At 44.7% G+C, this 26,110-nt stretch overlaps 4 annotated features.

The window, feature by feature from the left end:
• Positions 1,626 to 2,618: an enhancer, noted in NCBI's record as "H3K27ac-H3K4me1 hESC enhancer chr11:119932166-119933158 (GRCh37/hg19 assembly coordinates)". NCBI's record gives its function as "activates a minimal SCP1, AML or CMV promoter by ChIP-STARR-seq in naive H9 embryonic stem cells {active_cell/tissue: H9 hESC(naive)}" and the evidence as "EXISTENCE:reporter gene assay evidence [ECO:0000049][PMID:30033119]".
• Positions 2,749 to 2,949: a silencer, noted in NCBI's record as "peak1494 fragment used in MPRA reporter construct". NCBI's record gives its function as "represses an SCP1 promoter by STARR-seq MPRAs in K562 erythroleukemia cells {active_cell/tissue: K562}" and the evidence as "EXISTENCE:reporter gene assay evidence [ECO:0000049][PMID:32103011]".
• Positions 7,986 to 8,487: an enhancer, noted in NCBI's record as "NANOG hESC enhancer chr11:119926297-119926798 (GRCh37/hg19 assembly coordinates)". NCBI's record gives its function as "activates a minimal SCP1, AML or CMV promoter by ChIP-STARR-seq in primed H9 embryonic stem cells {active_cell/tissue: H9 hESC(primed)}" and the evidence as "EXISTENCE:reporter gene assay evidence [ECO:0000049][PMID:30033119]".
• Positions 18,939 to 19,108: an enhancer, noted in NCBI's record as "experimental_19353 CRE fragment used in MPRA reporter constructs". NCBI's record gives its function as "activates a minimal promoter by MPRAs in K562 erythroleukemia cells, with activity observed for both the introgressed and non-introgressed 11:119915761 variant alleles {active_cell/tissue: K562}" and the evidence as "EXISTENCE:reporter gene assay evidence [ECO:0000049][PMID:34662402]".

Genomic DNA, 26,110 nt, shown 5'->3' with positions numbered 1-26,110 from the left:
CTCCAGGTGTCCAGACCACACGGTCCCAATCCACCCATGAATGCTCTCAGTCACATCTTCCAGCTTAGGGGAGAGAATGCTCGGTAACCCTCTTTCCCCTGCAGCCTCCAGCCCTGTTTCCCAAGCCTTGTTCTAAGAGGAAAGCAGAAGCGCAGACAAGTCACACAGCTTGTCCAGGCTCATACAGCATCTGGTGGCTGTTTCTGGGAACAAGAACATACGTCTCCTCTTTCTTGGGAAAGTGTTAAAGCAGCCACAGGCCCAGTGGCTTCTCCCATCTCTAGGAGAGCACGGGGTATCCTGGTGCCACACCCCCCTTTCTCTCCCTGGCTGCTTTTTTGTCTGACAGTGGGCCTGGTACCTGTGTCCTGTGAACTTTCAAGGGCCTCCAGAACTGCTGGATACCTGAAAAAAGAATCGATTGGCTCCAAGATGCAAAAAGGGAACTGCAAAATCAAAATTAATAAATGATTACAGGTCTACAAAACATGCCAACTAGTCAACAGCCACTTAACTCCTAGTTGTATCCAAATTATAATTAGTGTAGAATGTGTCTGCAGTTTAAGAAGACTGATATGCTCTGGGCCTCCAAATATCAGACTGAATAGCATACGGAGGACCCTGGCCCTCCTCGTCTCTGCCTCTGACTCAGAAAACTCAAGAGGGATGGGAAGGCTAATCCCTCCCTGGGGAGGGGCTCAGATGCACTCCCGTTACAGGGGTCCTGGACTACCCCCTCCATGAAACTTTACATAACTCCCATTCTTTGTCTTTCGGGGCAATGTTTCCAAACTACAGTTGATCCAAACATCACTTGGGGGTTGGCTTTAGGGCAGGGTCACACCTGAATATCCCTAGGTTGAGCCTCCAAGTTTCCTGGGCTCCATCTGTGTATGGATGACTAAAGGGACCACCAAGGCAGTGAAAACTCCATGTTTACTCAACAAGACCCAACAAATATTTGTGCCAGGCATTATGTTAAATGCAGGGGGTCCCAAAGGGAGCAAGCTTACCCCCTTCCTTCATGACGCTTGTGTCTAATAGAGGATAACCGCCAGCATTTGGGCCATAACTGTTCCTCATTTGATTCTTACAAAAACCCTGGGAGCAGACAGGGCAGGTGTTAGTTTTTAGTTCAGAAAACGGGGATCTGAGAAGGCATTCCAGGTGTCTAAGGTGGCAGCTGAAGAGCCTGGAGTGAACCCCCCAGGTCCTGTCTCCACATGCCCACTTCTCCCGACTCCATCAGGCTTCCCAGCCATGGTTGCTGCGGGCTGCCGGGACACTAAGGAGAAGCGTCTGGGTGGGCTGCTGTCTAAGGCCACTGGCTTCAGGACCCCCCTCAGCTCCAGCTGAGCCCTGTGTCCAGTGAGGCAGGGGTGGCTGCCGCCCACTGCAGTGCACAGCGACCTCTTCTGTGAACCTCCTAAGCTATGAGGAACTAATTAGCTATTTATTTCAGCCAATTCATTATGTTCTCTTTGAACCTCGCTTCCCTTTCCCCAGAAAAGCTGCCCTGGAATTTGTTTGAGTGTTGCAGGCAAAATGTGCTTGCAGGCTGCATTCCGGAGCCAGCTTCGTGCTTCTCCCCTTGGCTGCCACGTCTCCCTCCCATCCCTCCCTCCTCCGGGCCTCCTCTGTCACTGCAGCCTTCAGCCGGGGATGGATGGGAGCGGCCTGCGGCTCTGTGCCGAAGCACAGGTCCTGCCTGTCCTGTCTTCCAAGGCGCTAAATCACCCCTCTGCCTCCGCCCCCGGGGGCCGCAGCCTCTATCTCCTGCATCAACGCGTCCCCCGTGCTCCATCAGGGCTCTGGGTTCTGCAGCAAATCCTTTGTCTCCAGCTTCAATCCCTCCCGACGCCCAGTTCAATCATCCTCAGCGCCAGCGCCGGGCTGAGCTCTGCTCTAGCCCTCCCTGTTGGTTCTGCCCCCTGATGGCCCTGCCCTGGTCCTGCCGTCTGCTCCAGCAGACCCCCTCACCCCTAGCCACCCCAGATGAAAGCCCACCACTTCCTGCTGCCCCTCCGCTTGTTCCCCAGCCACCCTCCCTTGCACCACATTCTACCACCCAATGTGCTTGACTGGGCCTGTGCAAGCCACTTTCTGAAACTGAGAGAGGCCGGGAGGTAAGCGCAGTGGGAAGATGGGAGGGATCACAGGGGAGCGCTCCTCCTCCCAGCCTCCAGACGCTGCGGGTGCTGGCCACGGTGGGATGACCTGGCCAAGCCAGCTGGGAACACCTTAGAAACCATGGCCTAGTTCTCCTCTCAACCTCTCCCAGCCCCAAATAGGCAAGCACCAGAAAATGCAGTTTCACCACAGGACACCCTCTCTCTCTAGCTTAGTAGCCCCAGTGTGGGGCTGCGCGACGGGACCTGGGTTGAAATGTTGTAATTTTCAGAACATATCATTAGGAACTCCCCAAGATGGTGGCCTGGGCCCACAGGTTCCCTGGGAATCCAGTTGCTGTGGCAACAGGAAAGCATCCCACGGAGGCAGGGCGAGGTGGCCTGGAAAGTGCAGAGGCTGTCTGTGGTGTTACTGCCTGGGGACCGGAGGCCTTTGTGCCCTCCTTCCCCCAGCTCAAGAGAAGTGGCCTTTCTAGAGCACAGGTGGGTAGCCATCCTGTGGTGGGCATAGGGGACACCCAAGTCTGTTCTTTTAGCAGAAATGGCAGGGGAGCAGTAGAAATGGTACCACTGCAAATTCGGTCTGTCATCTGGGGGCGGGGGGGTGGGGGGCGGTCCTGTGGGATGTGGTGTACAGAAATAGAAGAATTATCCCCCAATTCCAAACCTGTGACTCATCTGTCTGGCCAGAGCTCGCCTGTGGCAGTCTTTCCAAGGCCATCTAATGGGAAAGGCTTTATCCTAGAGCTCACAACCTCCGAGTTAGGGTCATGCTGAACACCTGCCTCCCCCTTAACAGCCCATTCAGACTCATTCATGAGTGTCCTAAACCATTCCATTACCTCGTTATGTTTTCTGACTGTGATACTTCTTAGGGAAATAAGCTCCCTGTACCAGCTGCCCAGAGGAGCATTTCCCTCTGACCTGTCCTGTGACCATTTGATGTAGGCTGTGAAGGACTCCCTTAGCGTCAATGTTTTGGGATTTAGTGAACTACTCTCCAGCTGACTGTTCCAACCCTTATGATGCTACACATTTTCTTTTTTTTAAGACAAAGTCTGGCTTTATCGCCCAGGCTGGAGTGCAGTAGCATGATCTCGGCTCACTGCAACTTCTGACTCCCGGGTTCAAGCCAACCTCCCACCTCAGCCTTCTGAGTAGCTGGGACTACAGGCACGTGTCACCACCATGCCTGGCTAATTTTCTTGTATTATCATCATTATTATTATTTTTGTAGAGATGGGGTTACACCATGTTGCCTAGGCTGGTCTCAAACCAGTGAGCTCAAGTGATCCACTCGCCTCGGCCTCCCAAAGTGCTGGGATTACAGGCACTGAGCCACTGTGCTTGGCCGATGTTACACAATTTAATTTCAAGAATGAATATTTTAGAGTGCCTGCTGCTTCCATATGACTTTAAAATATGATCTTATTTATTCCTCGGGACCATGTGAGGTAGAAATTATAATCCCTATTTCAAAGATGAGGAAACCAACTCGAGGAGGGTTGACTTGTCCACCCAGCTAGCCCAGGCAGGGTTAGAATCTGAACTCAGGTCTGAATATTACTAGCAGTCCTTTCCCCACGGAGGCTCAACTACTTCTAACCCTATTGGTCCTGGAAGGGCGAATACAAGTTTAAAATAAGAAACTTAATTCTCCCTGCTGAAAATAAGAGAAGAGACTTCTCCCCCTCTTTCTTTTCATATCAGAATTTCTTTCTAGGTCCTTTTCAAACATACATAAATCTTTATAATGGTGAAATAAGCCTCTTGCCAGTCATGGTTCAAGTTACCTGGTAGCCATTTTTTGAAATCCTAACATTGGAGGAGAGAGTGTCCCCTCTCTCCCAGTTCTTGTGAGAGAGTAAGAGCCTAACTTTGGTGGGTCTCCTGCTTCTATTTGCAAAACTTGTTTTTCCTCTGGATAAAGCCAATAAGCTAACAGATGGTCACCCTAATTACCAGGTGAAGTTAGGACGAGCTATGTGTTACAAATGGGGATGTTGTAAAAGTTGCCAGTACCGAAATGGAGTCACCTATGTCAAACGCTTAACCAAACGGAGATGAGGGAGGCCATAAGGAAGCTGTCACACACACATCCCTGTAACAGGACTATCACAAGAACTTCCTCAAGATTGCAGTGTTCCAGCTAAGCCACTCACACAAGGACACTCACCTTGCAATGGCTGATGAACAAAGGCTGGCTCCTACGACAAGCTTGTGACCTGTGATCTTTGTTTCAAAGCGGCTTGTGTGGACTTCTCTGTGTCTTTAAGACTCCCCTTTGCCCTGACTCCTCTGGATATGCCTGTGGTCTGTTATAACACACATATCCCAGATTGCAATCTTCTGCTATTCCCAAATAAACTCATTTGTTCTGGAGAGCCTGTCTTTCTGCATTTCTTTTTAGGTTGAAGTTTTCGGGCCCTCTTCCTTGAGGACTAGTTTCTGTTTATCTTGAAAACATGTATGCAGTGGATTGTATCTATCTGGCTATATAGGAGTTGAGATTGCATTTTGCATTCTGTCTCTGCAATCTCTCAGTGGATTGCCTGTGATGTATATCACATCCTGGTTTAATGCTTACTCAATAATAAAACTGTTTTCTGTCTCTACTACCTTTGAGGAGAGGTTTTCTAGGTTGAGAGAAGATTTTGTTTTCTTAATTATATTTCTCCAACATTCTCCCTGGCCTCTGCTTGCTTTCCAGCTACAGATTTTGGGTCTTCCGAGTCTGTCTTTCTCACCCCTGCCTCCTCTAAGACCCAACTTCCACTGACCTCCGGCTCCCATCTCTCTGGGGTGTGACCTCTGTTCTGAATTCCGCCTTGCTGGTGTGTTCATTAGACATCAGATCATGTTAAGGGGTGTCCCTCCCTGCCTTCTTAGGGAACCCTTGGGCCATTCAACATTTCGATGGAGACTTCAGTAGCAATAGCTTTTTAGCCCACAGAGCTGCCTTTATGTCATTCACCTTTTCAAAAATGTTGAAGATCTAGGAGGTAAAGTCACAACTTGGTCATATGGGGACACTACAGCAGACTCAGCCTCCCTTCCAGCTGTATCTTCTGCTGCTCTTCCAATCCATCTCCCTATTCCCCAGGCCCCTCAGTCCACTCAGTACAGGACTCATTCAACAGGGCCTCACTTCATTCCCTCCAGTCTGGAGTGTTTCCTCCTCTGCTCCTCACCTGGGCAAGGTCTACCACAGCTACCAAGGTCTTCCTCCTGGAAGCCTTCTCACTGGGAGGACCTGCTCCTGCACCTTGGGCCATCACCTCCGTGTTTTGTCTGGTCAGAGCTTTCCCCCAGGTCTGCAGCATGCGTGCTGCAGTAGACAGTTCTTTGAGGACAGGACTCCTCTCTCTGCTTCACATTCCCCACCTACACCAAGCCCAGGCTCATACCTGGCTCCCTGCATTCATTTTCAGGCTGGACCATCCTTGGTGACGTGGTGGCTTCTACAGTCTCTAGCTGCGAGGGCCAGGGTTTCCCAAAGAGGAGGAGCTGCACGGCTTTACGTTTCTTCCTCCTCTGCTGTTTGGGGGTCACTGACCCTTTCTCAGCTAATCGGTAGGTGGAAATGTAGCCATCCCACTTGGGCCACCCAGCGCACAAGGCCTTCTTGCTCCCTTTCTCTCTCCAGAGTAATAAACAGAGTTGTTACCAGGTGCTTCTCACAGCCTCCAGTGCTGGCAGGTTATTTATATGCAAATTTGCCTGTCTGTGGTTGTGGAGGCTCATAAACATGATAACAGCAGCTTCTGTAGGGGCTGGGACGTGATGGAGGGTGGGGAGAGGCCCTCTAGCTTCTGCGGGAGAAGTTAATATGGGATTAGCCACAACCAATTAGATGGTATCAAACCCAAAGGGATCCAACAGTTTAGCTAAACTGAAGATTGGGCTGAAGGAGGGGGGCTGCGGCTGTCAGGAGGGCCTCAGCAGACCCCTTCCCCAGGAAGCCAGGCTTCCGGCAGCATCTCAAGTCCCACAGGCCTTGGTAAGGAAAGGCCAGGAGAGGGAGGGCATCACCCTGAGCTTCTCACAGGCCCAACATCCTGGCGGGAAGCCTCCTGGTTTGGGTGGGGCTTCGGCGGGGGTGCGGCTGGGGATGAGGGAAAGCTGCTCGGCTGGGCAATTAAGCTGCGTGCTTTCCTGCTTTGGCCCCTTGGCCAGCAAGCAGTTCTGCCCATTGCTCTGCTCGGTAACTGTGACTCATCCTCTGGGACTCTCCTTCACGTCACCTCCCCTGGAAAGCCTTGTTTCCCCTGTCCTGGTCTGAAGTCCCACAGGACTTTGTCCATGCCTCCCATGTGTCACTCATTACACTCTATGTCTGTCTCCCCTCTAGACTGCGACTGCTTGAAGGCTATACAACATTGCTTCATTGGTCTTTGACTCTGCAGGGCATGGTACAGTGATCAGTGCAAAGTAAACGGTCAGTAAGAGTCTTTTTGAGGGGATGGAAAGGAAACACAAAGAAGCCAAGATTTGTACCGCTTTTGTGGTCTTGGGTAAATTCTTTCACTTTTTGAGATTTAATTTCCTTATCTGCAAAATGGGGATAACACTTTCTCATCTGACTGTCTATGCACTGCCATTGTAAAGCTTGGCCCTTAGCAGTTTGCTTAGCTAAGTTGGTTATGTTTCTCTTGCTAGGAACTGCTTCCCTTCCCACCCCTCCAGGGCATCAGGCCATGGGTCAGATATTCTCTTGTCTCTCAGAGGAGTCTGTTCCTGGGGAAGGTAATCAAGTAAGAGGAATTCGACAATCAGGAAAGCAGAGGTTTCTGCATAATGGAGAGCAGGGACGGAGAGGAGAGTTGGTTGGTGAAAGGAGGCACCTTTTTATTTTTACTGCATCCCTAAGCAGTAGCAGGAAGTGCGGGAGGAACGGTGATGAAGAATGTGAAGAGAAGGAGCTGTGAGCCTGGAGCCAGGGGTGGCGGTGCTGGTCTGCTCCCTGGCCCAGTCAACAGGTAGGAACTAGCACCTGCTATGCCCTCGGCCCTCGCCAGGCAGCTGCCCTAGACCCAGCAGAGGAGACCAGAGTGAGGCTGCAGAGAGAGTGGCTGTTGCCCTCAATTTACTTACAACTGAGGAGGCTGCTGCCAGGTCCCCTAGATTCTGCTCTAGGAATCCATCCCTGTTGACCCCATGGGCATCTGGCCACTTCACACTCCTGCCAATGTGCTGTGACAATGCATTCTGCTTCATCTGGTGCTCCAGCCAGTCCTCACAGGCTCAGGCTGGAAGAAGCCGTGCAGAGAATCAGGTTCAAAGCACTAGTTTTACCAACGAGGAAAATGAGGCCGGAGAGCCCGTGGGATGGGCTCTGTCTCACACCCCTCTTTGTGGCCCAGCCCGGCCCTCTGAGTCCATGCTGGAGGCTGGAGCCTGCTCTGAAGATTTCCCATCAGTGCAAAGGGTGGTCCGCTCCCTTCGGCACCAGACTTGGAGACACTCTCACTGGCCAGTGCTCAGGCAGGAGAGGCCAATGGGGCACTTGGCAGCAGGGTTGCCACTTGATTTCTTTCTCTCCCCCAAGGGTTGTCAAGGTGCCAGTTCCTGGCTGGGGTGGGAGTCACAGCTGTTTGTGGCTCAGATCTATGGGGACTTTCTCTCCCATGAAAGAAAGAGAGAACGCATCCTCTCCTCTATTGTGACTAGTAGCACCACCCATTTCCCCATCAGTCCAAGTGGAAACCCACAAGCCATTCTCCACTCCTTCCTCTCTTCACCTCCATAACCAATCACTCACCAAGTCCTGGGGACCTCAGCCTCCCTTGAACCCCCGGACATCTCATAAACTCTCTGAATTCGGTCATTCCTCTCTTTAATTCTTAACCTCAACACTCTCTGGCTAGGCCCAGGCCTTCAAATACAAAGAGGCAGAAAGGCCTGGCAACTTCTTTTTTTTTTTTTTTTTTTTTTTTTCTTCAAGACACACAAAAACATTGTCAGCTCCCCCTGTGGCAAGGAAAGCCCAAGTCTCAAAGACATAAAAGCCTGGCTCCCTTCCTGGGGTGGGAGTGAGGAGGAGAAGAGCTGAAATACCTTTCATTCTTTAGCAAGAGCCTACAATGGAGAAAGCAAGATACAGCTAGTCTCTCTCAATAGGCCATTTGGCCACATTACATTCTTGGTAAACCACTCTGCTACATTTCTATTAAAACAAGTCCCATCATGTCTCCTCTCTGCCTAAGATCTTTCAATGGCTCCCATTGCCCTCTGGATAAAACCCAAGCTTCCAGCCACATAACACATGTCAGGATCTGGCCAGGGCTTATTCCTCTGGCCCTGGGATTACTGCTTCCTTCCCTCTCTCTGCTGTGACCAAACCAATCTAGAAGTCAACCATTTGTTTAAGGCACAGAATGCTCTCTCTCAGTCTCTCTTGCTCTCTCTTGGTTCCTCGGACACACTATTCCTTCAGCCTGGAACACCTTCCATCCTTTGTTTGAGCTCCTCTTCATCATTCAAGATTCAGAGGGTAGGCCTGTTGCACAGTGGAGGCTCAGTAAGTGTTAAGTGAGTTCCACTCTCTGAGATGCCCAAGAAATCTGAGATGAGCCCCATAGTTGTATCCAGGGCACCATATAGCTGCTTTATCCTTGAAAGTATTGGTATTAGCCCAAATATCAGGACTAGCTCGTTTATTTTTATGAGACTCATAGTTTCCTATGCTAACTTTAAAATAATTTGATGGAGGAAGTGTCAATGCAGAGGGAATCAGGTCAGGAGCCTTTATTCCTAGTGAGGAAAAGAGTGGCTCTCTCCTGTTCTCTCCCACATTAGTGTCTCCAGTGAGAACCATTATCTAAGTTCAGGGGTCTCTCTTGAGCCTGAGGGAGGCTTTCCCCAACTCCCAGGATCACACTGAAGTTCCTGACCCTGAAGAGCATCAGATCTAGGGCAAAGCTTAGCCCAGAGAGAGCTACTGGAACAGTATTTGTGCCTCCGGGTGCCTAGGCTCATTCAAGTCCCAAGTGTGACTGTCCAAGAAGCAGAACGAGTGAGCAGTTTCCTGAATTATTTTCACCATTCTTGTCCTGCAACCCAACCCACACCTAAGCCATGAGGGGCCTGAGAAAGAAGCAGCCAGGGAGCACCCCCCGGGAGGGCTTTGCAGGCCATCCTGATTCAGCACAGCCCATTAGCCGGGTGGACCAGAATCCCTGGGAGAGGCCCCTTGGGGTAGAGGACACAGAGGGTCATTCCAGAAGGACACACTGTGGCTGTTGAGCATGGGATCCTTCTTCCTCAAGTGCTCACAGGGGTTCATTACATCCTCTTTCTCTTGACCCGTTTCTTGACCATCCTAAACAATGGACAATGGCTGAGGATGGTTAGGGCAAGGGTGACCCCAACTCCTAGAGCTATGTGTGAGGTTGCTCATAGATGAGCTGCACCATGGCCTTTTATGTCCTGCTTCAGTGCCAGTGGACAGCCCTTGCTGCTGACCACATTATTGAGCTTGTCACTGCCTGGGAAGGAGCAGCTGCATTTGTCCTCAGTGACAACCTCAGAGTCCCCAGAGACACACTAAAGTTAGCTTGGCTGGTCAGAGGGTCTCTGGGACAGCATTCGGTGATGAACACATCCTTGGAACTGCTGGGGAAAGAGGGTGGGGACTCTGAACTTGAGCACTTGAGTAGCCAAGGCATGTGGCAGTAGCCCAGGATGGGAGAGCAGGCATTTTCGGGTTGACATGCTCACAGTACCCTCCCCAGGAAGCATTCCTGGGCAGGTCCACCAGGCATCCCATTTCCCCATCAAAACCTCCTGGAACAATGGTTTCAATGGCATTCCCATCCTCTCAGCTACCAGCACCCAAAACCTTGGAGTCAATCTTTTTTGATAGGTCTCCATATCAATTTGTCACTGGGTCATTTCCATTTCTCCTAAGCCATATGCTTTGTTTGAGGCCATTTCCTGGGTTGACACCCTAGGGGGACTTCAGACTCTAGACTCTGGATCCTCTGGTCTACTTTTCATGCAAATGCCCACATGACTCTTCCTCACATTTTGCTGTCATCATGAGGCTTCCACACTCAAAAACCTTCCATGGCTACCTCCTTCCTTGCCCATAGAATCAAATGTGCTATCAAATTCTTTCTTGCCTATTCATCCTAATATTCTTCTGTTCTTACCCTGGTCACCAATGACCTTCACATTGGCAAATCAATGGCCTCTTTTCAGTCTTCATCCTACGTGACGTTTTGTGAAGCTCTCCTCTCCTCAGATTTCCTTAGAAACACTCGTTCTCATTTGTCTTCCTGTCTCTTGGCCGGCTCCTGCTCAGTTTCTTAGATCACTCCTGCTTTTAAAATTTTTCCCCAGCTTAAATATTGTTGTTTCCCAATTTCTCATCCTTGGAGCTTTCTTCTGCCTCTATTTGTCTCTTCTTGGGTGATCCCATTCAACTCCAGAGCTGCAGCCACTGCCTATTTGCTGTTGATTTACAAATCTGCATCTTTAGTGATCTCCAACGAGGCATGTGCCAGATGATCTCTTGGGGTATGAGAAGAAAAATATCACATTTATTTTTATCTAAAAAGTAAGGAAAAAATAAGCTTTACAAGGATTTAATATACATATTGGCATAGATATTAATTATGAACAAATATAAATATATTGGGGTTTATGTGCTCAAAAATATTGTGCTAACAGGGGTCCATAATCCATTCTGAGGGGTGTATGGCAGAGATTCCTAACCACCCCTTCTCCTCTTCTTTCATAGCGATGAAATAAACCATGTATGTGGCTGCCTGGAATAATGACTACACTGCCCTGCCTCCCTTTCAGCTAGATGCACGCTTCTGACCAGTTTCTGGGATGTGAGCAGCAGCAATGTGTGCATGTCTTAGCATTATGCCCCCAAAGGGAAGGAGCTTGGTCTCCCTTGCCCAGTGCACCCTTTCTTCTGGCTGGTGTGTAGGTGGTAGTGAGGCATCTTGGACTACGCATATGCAACCAGATGGAGGAACCTGGGCCTTGACCCCTCAGAGCATTATGTCAGTCCTTATGCTTGTGATTCCTTATGCCGATGAGAGAGTGGATCCTTATCTCATTTATGTCACTGTTATTTTGGGGTTTTGCAACAGCAGCTGAGTCTGTAGCCTATCAAATATAAGATATGTGGATTACCTTGGTCTGGATTTCTCTTCTGGGCTCTCAACCCATATATACACCTGGCATCTGTAAGCACAAGATGTCTGAGGCAGATCTCTGTATATCCTCCCTCCCACCACAATCTGCTCCTCCCTTAACCCTGTTTGGGCTCATTGCATCCCTTTCACTGCAGCAGGGTTCCCTGAGGACTCCTGGCTGAGATGCAGAGCTTAGCTGCTTGCATGCTTGCAGGGCTGGGGGCCTTCAGGGTGTTAATCTTCTTCAAGTCATATCCCCCAAGCTGGCCTACGGAGGCAGAAGGAAGTTCTTTTTGTCTTCAAGGGAGTCTTCAAGGGAGGCTGAAGGGGACATGAATGGAAGGAGATATCCAGGATCATGGGGGGAATGGGGTAGTAGGAGTCCCTGATCTGACCTCTTGGACTTCCTTGGGGCTCTGACGGGGAGAGGATGGAGGCCTGAGGCTGATGGGTCTCATTGCAGACTTTCGACACAAGCTGGGCTGCCTCAGTCTTGGGTAACCAGGCAGGACGGAAGTGCAGAGCAGGCTCTTCTTCCTGCCGTAGAGCCCGCCCTGCTCTGGCATGTGAAGATGAGCATCAGGAGATAGCATCTTTGGTGTGAACATTGGTGTTTCATGATTAGGGACCATTGTAGGGCAAACCAGGAAGGGCAGAAATGATGCTATAAAGACATAGAGCAAGATTGCATTTCCCAGCCCCCTTGTAGCTAGATGAGATCATCAATCTGAGTTATGGCCAAAGGAGAGTGGGCAGAAGTTATGTGCTCCATTCCTAGGCCTCGCCCTCATCTCGTCTGGTTCCATTTCCACAATCTTTCATTTGCTGACTGGCTAATGCTGGGTTGATGTTCAAGCTACAGGATGGTGGCAGCCTAGGTCTCTGGTACTACTAAGAGGAGAACCTCCCAGGAGAGTCGTCCAACCAGGAACATCCCAAATATATGTTATGAGCAGAAATTAATTTTTATTATGTCAAGCCACTGAAATTTTGGGGTCATTTGTTACAGCAGCTACCATTTATTTTCCTAACTAATAGAGTTCTCTAGTGACTTTGTGAGTGAAGGACAGTGACAGACGGGAGGTGAGGCAGAGAGGGAACAGGGGCATTGTGTATCGACTGGAGCTGGCAGGCAGAGGTCCAAGTGTCTGTGTGAGGTTCCCTTTAGGGACATCTAGGAGATGAGATCTCATTAACCTCTGAGTCTGGATGACCCTTCTCCACAAGAGATTTGTGCTTTCCCCTTCTGTGGGCTCTGTACAGACATTTAAAAAGTCCATGCATTTCTCTGTCTCTCTCCCTCTCTCCTTCTCTCTCTCTAATATGTATATATATTATATATAAATGTATATATGAAATATACATTCTGTATACATATACATTTCCATATACATTTTTTAAAACAATTTACACTTAAAAAACAAACTCATTTATTGGAAGCTTGCCCTATGGAATTATAAACTGCATGTGCTTTTATAAAAATTAAACCTTTTTGGTTGGGCGCGGTGGCTCATACCTGTAATCCCAGAACTTTGGGAGGCCAAGGTAGGTGGATCACCTGAGGTTAGGAGTTCAAGACCAGCCTGGCCAACATGGTGAAACACCATCTCTACTAAAAATACAAAAATTAGCCGGATGTGGTGGCACGTGACTGTAGTCCCAGCTACTTGGGAGGCTGAGGCAGGAGAATGGCTTGAACCCGGGAGTCAGAGGTTTCAATGAGCCGAGACTGCGCCATCACACTCCAGCCTGGGTGACAGAGCAAGATTCCATCTCAAAAAAAAAAAAAAAATTAAATCTTTTCTTTTGAGAGAATTGTGGATTCACAGGCAGTTGGAACAAATAATACAGAAAGATCCCATGTGCCCTTTACCCAGCTTCTCTGATGGTAACATCTTGCAAAACTATAGTACAGCATCAACCAGGTTACTGACATTGATACAGTTCAGATACAGAACATTTCCACCCCCACAAATGACCCTCGTGTTGCCTTTGTGTAGCCACACCCACCTCTCTCCCATTGCCCTCTCCATCCCTAGCAACCCCTAATTTGTTCTGCATTTCTATAATTTTGTCTCTTCAAAAATGTCGTATAAATGGAATCATACAGTATGTAACCTTTTGGGATTGGCTTTCATCACTCAGCATAATTCTCCAAATTGTTGCATCTACCCAGAGCTTGTTCCCTTTTTATTGCTGAGAAATATTCCATGAAATGGACTTACCACAGTTTGTTTAACTATTCACTGATTGAGGGACATCTGCATTGTTGCTAGGTTTTGGCTATTATGAATGAAGCTGCTATAGCATTCACTTACAGGTTTTTGTGTGAACAGAGTTTTTATTTCTCTGGGATAAATGCCCAGGAGTTCAATTATAGGTTATATGATAGTTGCAGTTTTAGTTTAGTTTATTTTTTTCTCCTTTAATGAAACTGCCAAACTGTTTACCAGAGTGGCTATATCATTTTACAATCCCACCAGCGATGTATGAGTGCAGTTTTTCTGTATCTTTGTAAGCATTTGGTATTGGCACTATTGTTTATTTTACCCATTCCGATAGGTATGTTGTAGCATCTTATTGTTATTGGTTCTAATTTGTATTTCCCTAATGGCTAATGATGTTGATCATCTTTTCATGTGCTTATTTGCCATTAGTACATCTTCTTTGGTGAAATGTCTCTTCGTGTCTTTGCTCATGTTCTAATTGAATTGTTTGCTTTTTTTTTTTTTTAAACCACAATGTAATCAAGAACCCAATTTAGTCAAGGTGACATTTAATTTGATTGTTTACTTTTTTTTTCACTATTGAGTTTCGAGAATTCTTTATATATTCTAGATGCTAGTCTTTTGTCTGATATGTGGTTTGCAGATATTTTTCCCACTCTGTAGCTTGTCTTTTCACCCTCCTAACAGGGTCTTTCATGGAGAAAAAGTTTTTAATTTTGATGAAGTTCAATGTATTGATTTTTCTTTTTATGGGCTGTGCTTTTGGTGTTAAGTCTAAAAGCTCCTTGCTTAGCCTTAGATCCTAGAGATTTTCTTCTGTGTTATTTTCTAAACTTTTTATGTTTTTACATTTTTCATTTAAGTCCCTAATCCATTTTGAGTAAATTACTGTAAAAACTGCATTAAGTCCATGATCCATTTTGAGCTAATGATGGTACAAACTGTTTGACTTAGGTCAAGGTGGGTTTTTCTTTTTCTTTTTGGCCTGTGGATGCCAATTGCTCCAGCACCATTTGCTAAAAAGGTTATTTTACTCCACTGAATTTCTTTTACATTTTTGTCAAAATCAGTTGGGGATATATTTTGGGTCTAATTATAGATTCTCTATTTGTTTTATTTATCTAGATATGTATGACTCTCCAAATACCACAGTGTCTTAATTATTGTAGCTATATAGTAAATCTTAAAATTGGGTAGGCTGATTCTTCCCACTTTATTTTTCAAAATTGTTTTTGTTGGAGAGAATTGAATCTTTACTATGCAGAGTTTTCCAGTCCATGAATACCATATGGCTTTCCATTTACTTAGATCTTTGATTTCTTTCATCAGCATTATGTAGTTTTCAACATAAGTCCTATGCATGTTTTGTTGGATTTATAGTTAAGTAATTAATTTTTTGAATGATTAAAAATAGTATTATATTTTTAAATTTTGGTGTTGAGTTTGACATTTCACTTTAGTATGCATTCAGTCTTCATAACTAAACATAATGTCAACTGTTGGTTCTTTGGTGGATGCTCTTTATCAAGCTGAGAAAGTTCCCCTTCATTTCTATTTTTCTGAGAGTTTTAAAAATGGATATTGAATTTTATCAAATGCTTTTTCTGCATTGATTGATATAATTATGCAATTTTTCTTCTTTAGCTTGTTAATATAGTGGATGACATTGATTGATTTTCAAAACATTGAACAAATTTTGCATCTCTAGAATATGCTCTATTTGTGGTATAATATATAATTCCTTCTATATGTTGCCAAATTAAATTTGCTAATATTTTGTTAAGGAATTTTACATCTACTCATGAAGGATATTAGCCTGTAGTTTCTTATTTTTATCCTTTATCTGATTTTGATATCAGGATAATCTGAGCTTTGAAAGATAAATTGGGGGCTGGGTGTGGTGGCTCATGCCTATAATCCCAGCAATTTGGGAGGCTGAGGCAGGTGGATCACTTGAGGTAAGGAGTTCAAGACCAGCCTGGCCAACATGGTGAAACCCTGTCTCTACTAAAAATACAAAAATTAGCTGGGCATGGTGGCACAGGCCTGTAGTCCCAGCTACTCAGGAGGCTGAGGCAGGAGAATCGCTTGAACCTGAGAGGCGGAGGTTGCAGTGAGCTGAGACTGCACCACTGCACTCCAGCCTGGGTGACAGAGTAAGACTCCATCTCAAAAAAAAAAAAAAAAGAAAAGAAAAGAAAAAAAAGAAAATTAAAAAGAAAAATTGGAAAGTTTACCTTCCTCGTCTATTTTCTGGAAGAGATTGTATAGAGCTGGTATTAATTCTTGCTTAAACATTTGGTAGAATTATCCTGTGAAGCCATCTTGGTATTGAGATTTCTTTTTTGGGAGTTTTAAAATTGTGAACTCAACTTCCTTGATAGTTATAGAACTATTCAAATGAAATTCCATTTCATATTGATTGAGTTGTGGTAGCTTGTATTTTCCAAGAAATTGAGCCATTCTGTCTAAGTTGTCAAATTTATGTGTGTGGAATTGTTGTGGTACTCCCTTATTATTCTTTTGATGTCTGTAGGGTCTTTACTAATAGCTCCTGTTTCATTTCTGATACTGGCAATTTGTGAGTTCTCTCTCTCTCTCCCTCTGTTTTTGTCAGAGTACCAGCTCTTTGTTTCATTGATTTTCTGTATTATTTTTCTCTTTTCAGTGTTATTGATTCTGCTCCTATCTGCATTATTCTCTTCTTTCTTCTTCCTTGGGGTATATTTTGCTTTTCTTTTTCTAGATTCTTGAATCAGAGATTATTGATTTGAGACTTTTCCTATTTTGTAATATATGCTTTTGGTGCTATGCATTTTCCTCTCAGTGGTGCTTTGGCTGCATCCCACAAGTTTTTATATACTGTAGTTCCATTTTCATTCACTTCAATGCTTTTAAAAAAATTTACCTTGAGGCTGGGTGTGGTGGCTCATGCCTATGATCCCAGCACTTTGGGAGGCCGAGACAGGCAGATTGCTTGAGCTCTGGAGTTCGAGACCAGTCTGGGCAACATGACAAAACTCTGTCTCTACAAAAATACAAAAATTAGCTGGGCATGGTGGTGCACTCCTGTACTCCCAGCTGCTCAGGAGGCTAAGTTAGGGGGATTGCTTGAGCCCAGGAGGTGGAGGCTGCCATGAGCTGAGATTGTGCCAAAACAAAAAACAAAACAAAACAAAACAAAACAAAACAAAAAAACACAACCATTTACCTTGAGATATCCTTCTTGACCCATGTATTATTTGAAGTGTGTTGTTTAGTTTCCAAATGTTTGAAGATTCTCCTATTATCTATTTTTATTTCTATTTTGATTTCATCATAGTTGGAAAACACACTCTGTGTGAGTTTAACTCTTTTAAATTATGTTCTAATTAATTCTGTTAACTTTGTCCTATGGGCTAGAATATGATCTATCTTGGTACGTATTTTATGGTCACTTGGAAAAAAATGTGTTTTCTATTGTTGCTAATTGAAATAATCTATAAATGTAGATTTACATCAGTTTACTCTCCCCTGTTTATAAGATAGTTGTGTTAAATATTTTCTCTTCATACATTTAGAACCACATTAGACAGTGTGATAATCTTTGCTTCAATCATAAAACATAATTTACAAAACTCAAGAGAAAAAGGAAAGCCCATCTACTCATAGTTTTGCTTACTATGCTCTTTCTTTCTTCCTGGCATTATAAGGTTTCTTCTTTTATCTTTTCCTTTCTTTTTAGAGGACTTCCTTTAGCCATTCTTTTAGGGTAGTTCTGCTTATGACAAATTCTTTTAGTTTTTCTTTATTTGAGAATGTCTTGATTTCTCCTTTATTCCTGAAAAATAACTTTTGCTATAGTATTCTGGGTTGCAGTTCTTTTCTTCCAGCACTTGAAAAATATTGTCCTATTTCCTTCTGGCCTCCATAGTTTCTGATGAGAAATCTGCTATAATTAAAATTGTCTTACCCTATAGGTAAAGTAGCTCTTTCTTTCTTGCTGCTTTCAAGATTTTTCTTTTTGTCTTTAGTTTTCAGAAGTTTAATTGTGATGTGTCGTCATGTGGATTTCTTTGAGTTTATCCTGTTTGGAGTTCACTCAACTTCTTGAATGTGCAGGTTGATGTTTCTTGCTTAATTTGGGAAGTTTTCAACCATTATTTCTTTGAGTACTTTTCAGCCTTGTCTACTTTCTTCTCTCCTTCTGAAACTTCGATGACTTGAATGTTAGATTTTTTTTTGTTATACTCCCACAGGTCCCTGAGGCTCTGTAAATTTTCCTTGTTTGTTTCAATCTATTTTCTCTGTGTTTCATAATGGGTAATTTCTGTCTTCCAGTTTATCAATTAATTCCCCTGTCCCCTGCATTCTTCTGTTGAGCCTACCCATTGAGCTTTCTATTTTGGTTACTGTATTTTTCTGTTCAAAAATTTTCATTTGGTTCTTCTTTTTATCTTCTACTTCTTTGCTGACATTTTCTATTTTTCATTTGTTTTAAGTGTGTTCATAATTGCTCATTGAAGCATTTTTATGATGACTACTTTAAAATCTTTGTCATATAATTCTAACATCTCTATTATGTCAGTGTTGGCATTTGTTATCTTTTTTCCCTTCAGTTTGAGATTATCCTGGATCTTGGTATAATAAGCAATTTCAATTGAAACCTGGACATTTTCATATTATGAGATTCTGGATCTTAAACTTTCTGTTTCTCTGAGGTAGAAGTCCAGGTTCCCCACTCAGTCTTTGTTGATGTCTGATTTGGGATGGAAGTAGGGAAGGTTCCTCATTTTGCTAGGCAGGGATAGAAGTTCCAGGTCCACAGCTGATCTCCACTGACACCATGGTGGGTATGTTCTTTTTACTAACAGGTAACAGTAATAGTTCAGACTCACCACTAGACCTCCTCTGGCACCTTTTACCTAGAGGGAAAGGCACCTTTTTACTGTTGTGTGGGGATGGAAGTCCATGCTTCCCAGGTCATCTCCAATAACATTGCATGATGATTCTGGGGGCTTGCTACTGCTTGGAGAATTAGTCTAAGCTCCCTACATGGACTTCTCTGACACAACTTCAGCAACTTCAGGGGTGTTGAGGGGCCTCGTTACAGCCTCACAGTATGGAAGTCTAGGGTCCTCACTTAGTCTTTGCTGACATGAGAGGATGTGGGGGCCACAGCTTTTTCTGTGGTGTTTGACTGAAGTGGAACTGTTACTGTATAAAAGTTATCTGTCTTCTGTCTTACTGGAGAGAGTAGCCTTTTGTTGGGGCATTTATTTTTCTGTACCTGTTGGCATTTTCAGGTTGCCAGCTTCTTCAGCTAAAAGTTTGGGATATATGAGGCAAAAAAACAAACCCAGGTAACTCCCCACTATGTCATTCTTGAGGTTCTGAGGTCCTTCTCAAGGCTGTTGATATGATATGGTTTGAGTGTTTGTCCCCTCCAAATCTCATGTTGAAATGTGATTCCCAGTGTTGGAGGCAGGGCCTGGTGGGAGGTGATTGGGTCATGAATACAGATCCCTCATGCATGGTTTAACACCATCCCCATGGTGATAAGAGAGCTCTCACTCAATTATTTCACACGAGATCAGGTTGTTTAAAAGCCTGGGACCTCCCCGACCCCAGTCTCTTGCTCCCACTCTCATCATGTGATGTGCCTGCTCCCCCTTCACTTTCTGCCATGATTGGAAGCTTCCAGAGGCCCTCACCAGAAGCAAATGTTGGACCCACACTTTCTGTGCAGCCTGCAGAACTGTGAGCCAAAGTAAACCACTTTTCCTTATAAATTACCCAGTCTCGGGTATTTCTTTATAGCAATGCAAGAATGAGTTAATTAAAAAATTGGTACTGAGGAGTAGGGTGCTGTTATAAAGATACTAGAAAATGTGGAAGTCGCTTTGGAACTGGGAAATGAGCAGAGGTTGGCAGAGGTTGGAGGGCTCAGAAGAAGACAGGGAGATGAAGAAAAGTTTGGAACTTCTTAGAGACTTGTTAAATGTTGTGATCAAAATGCTGATGGAAATATGGACAGTGAAGCTTAGGCTGATGAGGTCTCAGATGCAAATGAGGAACTTATTGGGAAATGGAGCAAAGTTCACCCATGTTACACCTTAGCAAAGAGCTTGGCTGCACTGTGTCCAGGCCCTAGGGATCTGTGGAAGTTTGAATCTAAGAATGATGAGATAGGGTACCTGGCAGAGGAAATTCACAATCAGCAAAGCATTCAAGAAGTGTCCCAGCTGTTTCTTACAGCCTATGACCAGATGTGGGAACAAAGAAATGACTCAGAGTTGGAACTTATACTTAAAAGGGAAGCAAAGCATAAAACTTTGGAAAATTTGCAGGCCGGCCAAGTGGCAGAGAAAGAAAGAGTGTTTTCAGGAGAGAAATACAGGTGGGTTGCAGAGCAACACTTGCTAGAGAGAGTTGTGTGACTAAAAGAGAGCCAAGTGTTAATATCCAAGACAATGGGAAAAAGGCCTTGAGAGCATTTCAGAAATCTTTGAGGCAGCCCCTCCCATCACCAGAGGCTAGGAGGAAAGGATGGTTTTGTGGGCCAGGCCCAGGGCCCTGCTGTCCTGTGCAGCCTCAACACACCACTCCCTGAATCCCAGCCACTGTAGCTACAGCTGTGGCTCAAAGGACCCCAGGTACAGCTCAGGTCACTGCTCCATAGGGCACAAGTCATAAGCCTCGGCAGCTTCCACATGGTGTTAAATCTGCAGTTGCACAGAATGCAAGTATGAAGGAGGCTTGGCAGATCCCCACTAGATTTCAGAGTTGTATTGGACAGTCTGGGTGTCTAGGCAGAAACTTGCTGTAAAGGCAGAGCCCCTAGAGGATACTCTACATGGGCAATGCCAAGGGGAAATGTGGGGTTGGAGCCTCCGCACAGAGTCCCCAGTAGGGCACTGGCTAGTGGAGGTGTGGGAAGGAGGCCGCTGCCCTCCAGACCTGAGAATGGTAGATCCACTGAGAGCTTGCCTCCTGAGCCTAGAAAAGCTGCAGGCACTCAACTTCAAACCATGAGATCAGCCATGAGGCTACACCCTGCAAAGTCACAGGGGTGGAGCTGCCCAAAGTCTTGGGAGACACTCCCTTACACCAGTATGCCCTGGAGGTGGGACATGGAGTCAAAGGAGTTGATTTTGGAGCTTTAAGATTAGTGACTGCCCTGTTGGGTTTCAGACGTATAGGGGGCCTGTTGCCCCTTTCTTTTGGCTAATTTTTCTCTTTTGGAATTAGATTGTACACCATTGTATCCTGGAATTAAATAATTTTGTTTTTTAATCTCACAGGCTATTGGATGGAAGGCATTCATCTCCAGTTGAGACTAACGACTTGGGACTTTGGAGTTAATGCTGGAATGAGTTAATACGTTGGGGGAACTATTGAAAAGGCATGATTGTATTTTGAAATGGCGAGAAGGACATGAGATTTGGGAGGTAGGTGGATGAAATGATACGATTGGGATGTCTGTCCCCTCCAAATCTCATGTTGCAATGTGCGTCCTTGTGTTGGAGGTGAGGTCTGGTGGGAGGTGACTGGATCATGAGGGTGGATTCCTCATGAATAATTTAGCACCATCTCCTTGGTGAAAAGTGAGCTCTTACTCAGTTCACAAGAGATCTGGTTGTTTAAAAGTCTGGGACCTCCCCTCTTTTGCTTTCTTGCTCCTGCTCTCACAGCATCATGTGCCTCCTCCCCCTTTGCCTTCTGTTATGATTGGAAGCTTCCTGAGGGCCTTACGAGAAGCAGTTGCTGGCACCATGCTTCCTGTACAGCCTGTAGAATTGCGAGTCAAAATAAATCACTTTCTTCATAAATTACCCAGCCTTGAGTATTTCTTCATGACAATGCAAGAACAAGCTAATACAGCTGTCTTCTTCTTTCCATCTTACAGGTCTTTTAATGCTGGTTTTATATATAATGCACAGGGTTTTCAGTGGTACTTAGCGAGAGGAATAGGGAGAAGTATATCTACTCTATCTTCCCAAAAGCAAAAGTCTCCCCATTATATTTTTAACAGCTTAATTGAGGCATACTTCATATGCCAAACAATTCACACCCTTAAAATGTATAATTTAAAGAATTTTAGTGCATTCATAGAGTCATGCAAAGATCACTACAATCAGTTTTAGACATTTTCTTCATCCCCAAAATAAACTCCACACCTTTAGCCATTACCCCACATACCTCCTCACCCCCTACTCCAGCCTCAGGCAACCACTAATCTACTTTTTGTCTCTATGGATTTGCCTATTCTGGACATTCCATTTAAAAGGAATCATACATTATGTGATCCATTGTGACTGGTTTCTTTCACTTAGCATAATGTTTTCAAGGTTTATCCATGTCGTAGCATGTATCAGTACTTCATTTCTTTTCATTACTGAATAATATTCCATTATATGGATATATCACATTTTATTTGTCCATTCATCAGTTGATGAACATTCATCAGTTGTTTACACATTTTGGCTCTTATGAATAAGGCTGCTGTGAACACTTCTGAATAAGCATTTTTGGACATATGCTTTCAACTCTCTTGCATAAATACTTAGGAGTGGAATTTCCAGATTGTATTGTAACTGTGTCTAACCATTTGATGAACTACCAGATAGCTTTTCCAAGTGGCTGCACCACTTTACATTCCCACCAGCAATGTACAAGGGCTACAATTTCTCCATATCCTTGCAAACACTTGTTGTTATCTTTCTTTTTGGTTATAGTCATCTCAGTGGGTGTGAATTGTATCTGGTTGTGGTTTTCATTTGCATTTTTCTGATGACTAATGATATTGAGCATCTTTTCATGTGCTTATTAGCCATATATGTATATCTTCTTTGGAGAACTGTATATTCAGAGCCTTCGCCCATTTTAAAATTGGGTCATTTGTCTTTTTATTATTGAGTCGTAATGGCTCTTTATATACTCTAGATACAAGTCCCTTGTCAGACATATAATTTGCAAAGAGTTTCTTGTATTCTGTGGGTTGTTTTTGTACTTTCTTGTTGGTGTCATTTGAAGTACAAAAGTTTTAAATTGTTGATGTCTAATGTATCTGCTTTTTTCATTTGTTGCTTGTTCAAGGAACCATTGTCTAACCCAAGGTCACAAAGATTTATGCTAATGTTTTCTTCTGGGTATTATAGTTTTAGCTCTTATATTTATATATTTAATCCATTTTAAGTTAATTTCTGTATATGGTGTGAGGTAGTGATCTGACTTCATTCTTTTGCATGTGGATATCCAGTTGTTCCAGTACCATTTGTTGAAAAGACTATTCTTTTGCCATTGAATTATCTTAGAACACTTGTTATTGATCTTAAATGTGAGGGTTTATTTCTGGATTCTCAATTCTATTCCATTGATCATTATGCTCTTATTATATTTTAAACCGCTGAGGACAGAAGTCATGCCATATTCATCTTCATATCTCTCATCTCTTAAGGGTCTGGGTAAAGGTAGGTAAGTCTAGGTGTATTAGTTGGCTGGGGCTGCCACAACAAAATAGCACAGAATGAGTGGCTTAAAAACATAAATTTATTTTCTCATAGTTTTGGAGGCTGGAAGTCCAAGATCAAGGTGTTAGCAATGTTGGTTTCTCCTGAAGCCTCTCTCTTGGGCTTGGAGATGGGCACCTTCTGCTGTGTCTTCACATGGCCTTTCTTCTGTGTACACTTACTCCTGGTGTTTCTACCTCTTCTCATAAGAACACCAGTCCTATTGGACTAGAGCCACACCTTGTGATCTCATTTTACCTTCATGACCTCTCTAAAGTCCCTGTTTCCAAATATAGTCACACTGGGGGTTAGGGCTTCAACATATGAATTTGGGGCCGGGCAGGGAGCAGGCACAGTTCAGTCTATAACACTGGGTAATGTCTGTTGAACTGAATAGAGGGCAGGAGTGCTTGCCCTCAGCTGTGAGGCTGCACGGCTGAGCATCAGTGGCTTGCAATGCCCCAGCATAGTCCCTGGCAAGTAGAGGCCAGTCTGAGAAGTTAACCTGACTTCCTCAAGTCAGCTGAGGGCTGGCAGTTAGGAGAGGGCTGTGTGAGTGGGGATTGTGAGGGAGAAGTCGACATGAGAGGGTCTTCTGAGAGGGTGGAGAGACATGTGCATATGTGTGCTGCACGTGCCCCAATGGAGAGTGTGTGCAGGGAAACACTCCCAGGCACCTGGTAATGCTGAGAGGGTCTGGTGACAGCTGTTTTCCCTACAGTGATTTCTGCCTGCTGTTGCTAAACAATTGGTGTGAACATTCTTAGGGCAAACAAAACAGGCCAAGCCTAGTAGAGGCAGGACACACACAGGGAGGCCCCTTTGCTGAGAGAAGCTGATAGCGGAAGGATACCCAGCTTCTCTGTTGCACACCTGAGTTTCTCTTAGGCTGTTACACATGATCCATTCTTTGCTCTACCGTAGGCCTGGGGTGGTGGAGTGAGAAAATACCTCACTGAGATGCAGCTTCACTGTCTTTATAAGAGAGATGTGAAATGCTCAACCCATGGGCTTTTAGAGAACCTTAACATCCAGTCTCAATGGGGAGAATGAAAGGGATGGGAAGGGGAGGTTGCTGGGGGTGGGGTAAGCTGGGCCTGAGTAGAGGAAAGAATAGGAGTGATCATGTGTAAGGAGCCTCCAATGCCTCCCAAACTGGAAGAAAGGTTGTGTTATTATTCCTGGTGGAGGCCCAGACAGCTTTCTTGCAATGCAATAACATCAGAAGGCTCAGGAGTAAACAATAATAATAGTTTTCATTGATCAAGCCTTTAATCTCACTCACTGCCTTTAGGAAGTTCAAGTCGGGGGTGGGAATGGAGTTAGGCAGGAGGGAGGGCTGGGGAAGTTAACTGAGAACTTGGCTCTGCTCAGCCCATTGCCAGTGGAGAACAGACATGACCTGGGCACTGGGTTTATATGGACATCAAAGTCAGTTTTCCTCTGCACCACTCAGATGCACTGGTTAATGTCACCTCCTCTGGGCTGTAGAGATAGGGGGCAGGCCTGGAGATCCAGAGGCTGAAATGGATCAAAGAAACCTGAGTTTACCACCTCTGCCTCCTTAGGGGAGCTTGGGAGCTTTCTCAGACCAATTTCTTCCTCCCTCCCATGCTGCAGTGTTGAGGTGTTTACAATTTTCTCCTAATTAACAGGCCTCAGCTGTGGAAAGGCATTTTGGACACCTGGGTCCTTCTTCCCCACCTCCTTGTCTTCCTTTTGGTACATGACTTTGGGGCACAGGCCCTGAGGATGCCATCTGACATGTTTGTAGGACTCTCTGCCTTCTACCACATGTAGTGTCTGTACCAAGCCCCACAGCAAACCTGCATGTGAGGCACAGAGAGCCTAGGTCATAGGCCTTAATGACACAGAGTAAATTGGTTAAGGCCACCAGAACCAGACCTCAGGAGTTTGGATGTTCACTTGCTTTTTCCAGTATACCTCATTCCCGAAATAGTATAACTACTCAAGTGACTCCTCCCCCATTGTGTCTCATTACCCTTTCCCTTCACTTCCCCATCCATGGTGTGTAGCAGGAGTTTCTAAGGGTGGTGGGGGTGGATGGCTGGAGAGAGCCCTCTTGCAAACCTTTCCTTAGGGGCCTGGAATTTAAAGTAGAGCTTCTCCATCTTGGAGGGGCTTCCACTGGCAAAAGCTGGAACAATCTGAGCATTAAAAAGAATATGAAGTAGAATTTATTGTAAGTCATTGAACAAATATCCAGCAGAGTATGACAATAAGATATAGATAGATAAAAACCGGATGAGAAGAGAAAGGGAAACTCACTTACCATCATTGAAGGTGATTATTGAACCAATTCCTTATTCAGGAAATTAGTAATTAAAAAGAAAGAACCAGGCATTTGCCTGTCCTTTTCAGGAGGCAATGTAGTTAATTCCTGTTGATAACAGAAAACTCCACTTTGTGAAAAACACTAGTCAATAAATATGGACATAATGGTAGAATTAGAAAAACGATCATTTTGTTATATTGAAAGAAATAATTGATTAAGGCAAAGATCATCAATAAATGTTCAATGCATCAAGTGAAAAGTTTTTGGAGAATAAGATATTCTAGGGTCCAATGTATTGTTTCACAGATTACTTGCAGATTGTCAAAGGGAAAATGACCTTTTCAAGGGCCAGATACGGCAGGGGCCACCTTAACCAAGTGATAATGATTAATGGGACAGCCTGACATTATGTGCCTTTGGATGTGATGCAATATGTAGTTTATAGCATCACCTGTGAAGTTGTACTACTTATCTATTGACACATATATTAGTCTTTTTAGACTGTCATAACAAAATACCATAGACTGGGGGCTTAAATAACAAATTTATTTTCATATAGTTATGTAGTCTGGGATGTCCAAGATCAAGGTGCCAGCCAATTCGGTTTCTGGTGTGGGCTCTCTTTCTGGCTTGCAAATGCCACCTTCTCCCTGTATCCTCACAGAGCAGAGAGAGAGAGAGAGAGAGAGAGAGAGAGAGAGAGAGATCTTCCTTTTCTTATAAGGCCACAGTTGCTAATAAGAAATACCTGAGACTGGGTAGCTTATAAAGGAAAAGGGGTTATATGGCTTACAATTATAATGGCTGGAAAGTT

Source organism: Homo sapiens, chromosome 11 (genome assembly GCF_000001405.40).
Source record: "Homo sapiens chromosome 11, GRCh38.p14 Primary Assembly".
Taxonomy (NCBI): domain Eukaryota; kingdom Metazoa; phylum Chordata; class Mammalia; order Primates; family Hominidae; genus Homo; species Homo sapiens.
This window is presented reverse-complemented; position numbering and strand designations above follow the sequence as displayed.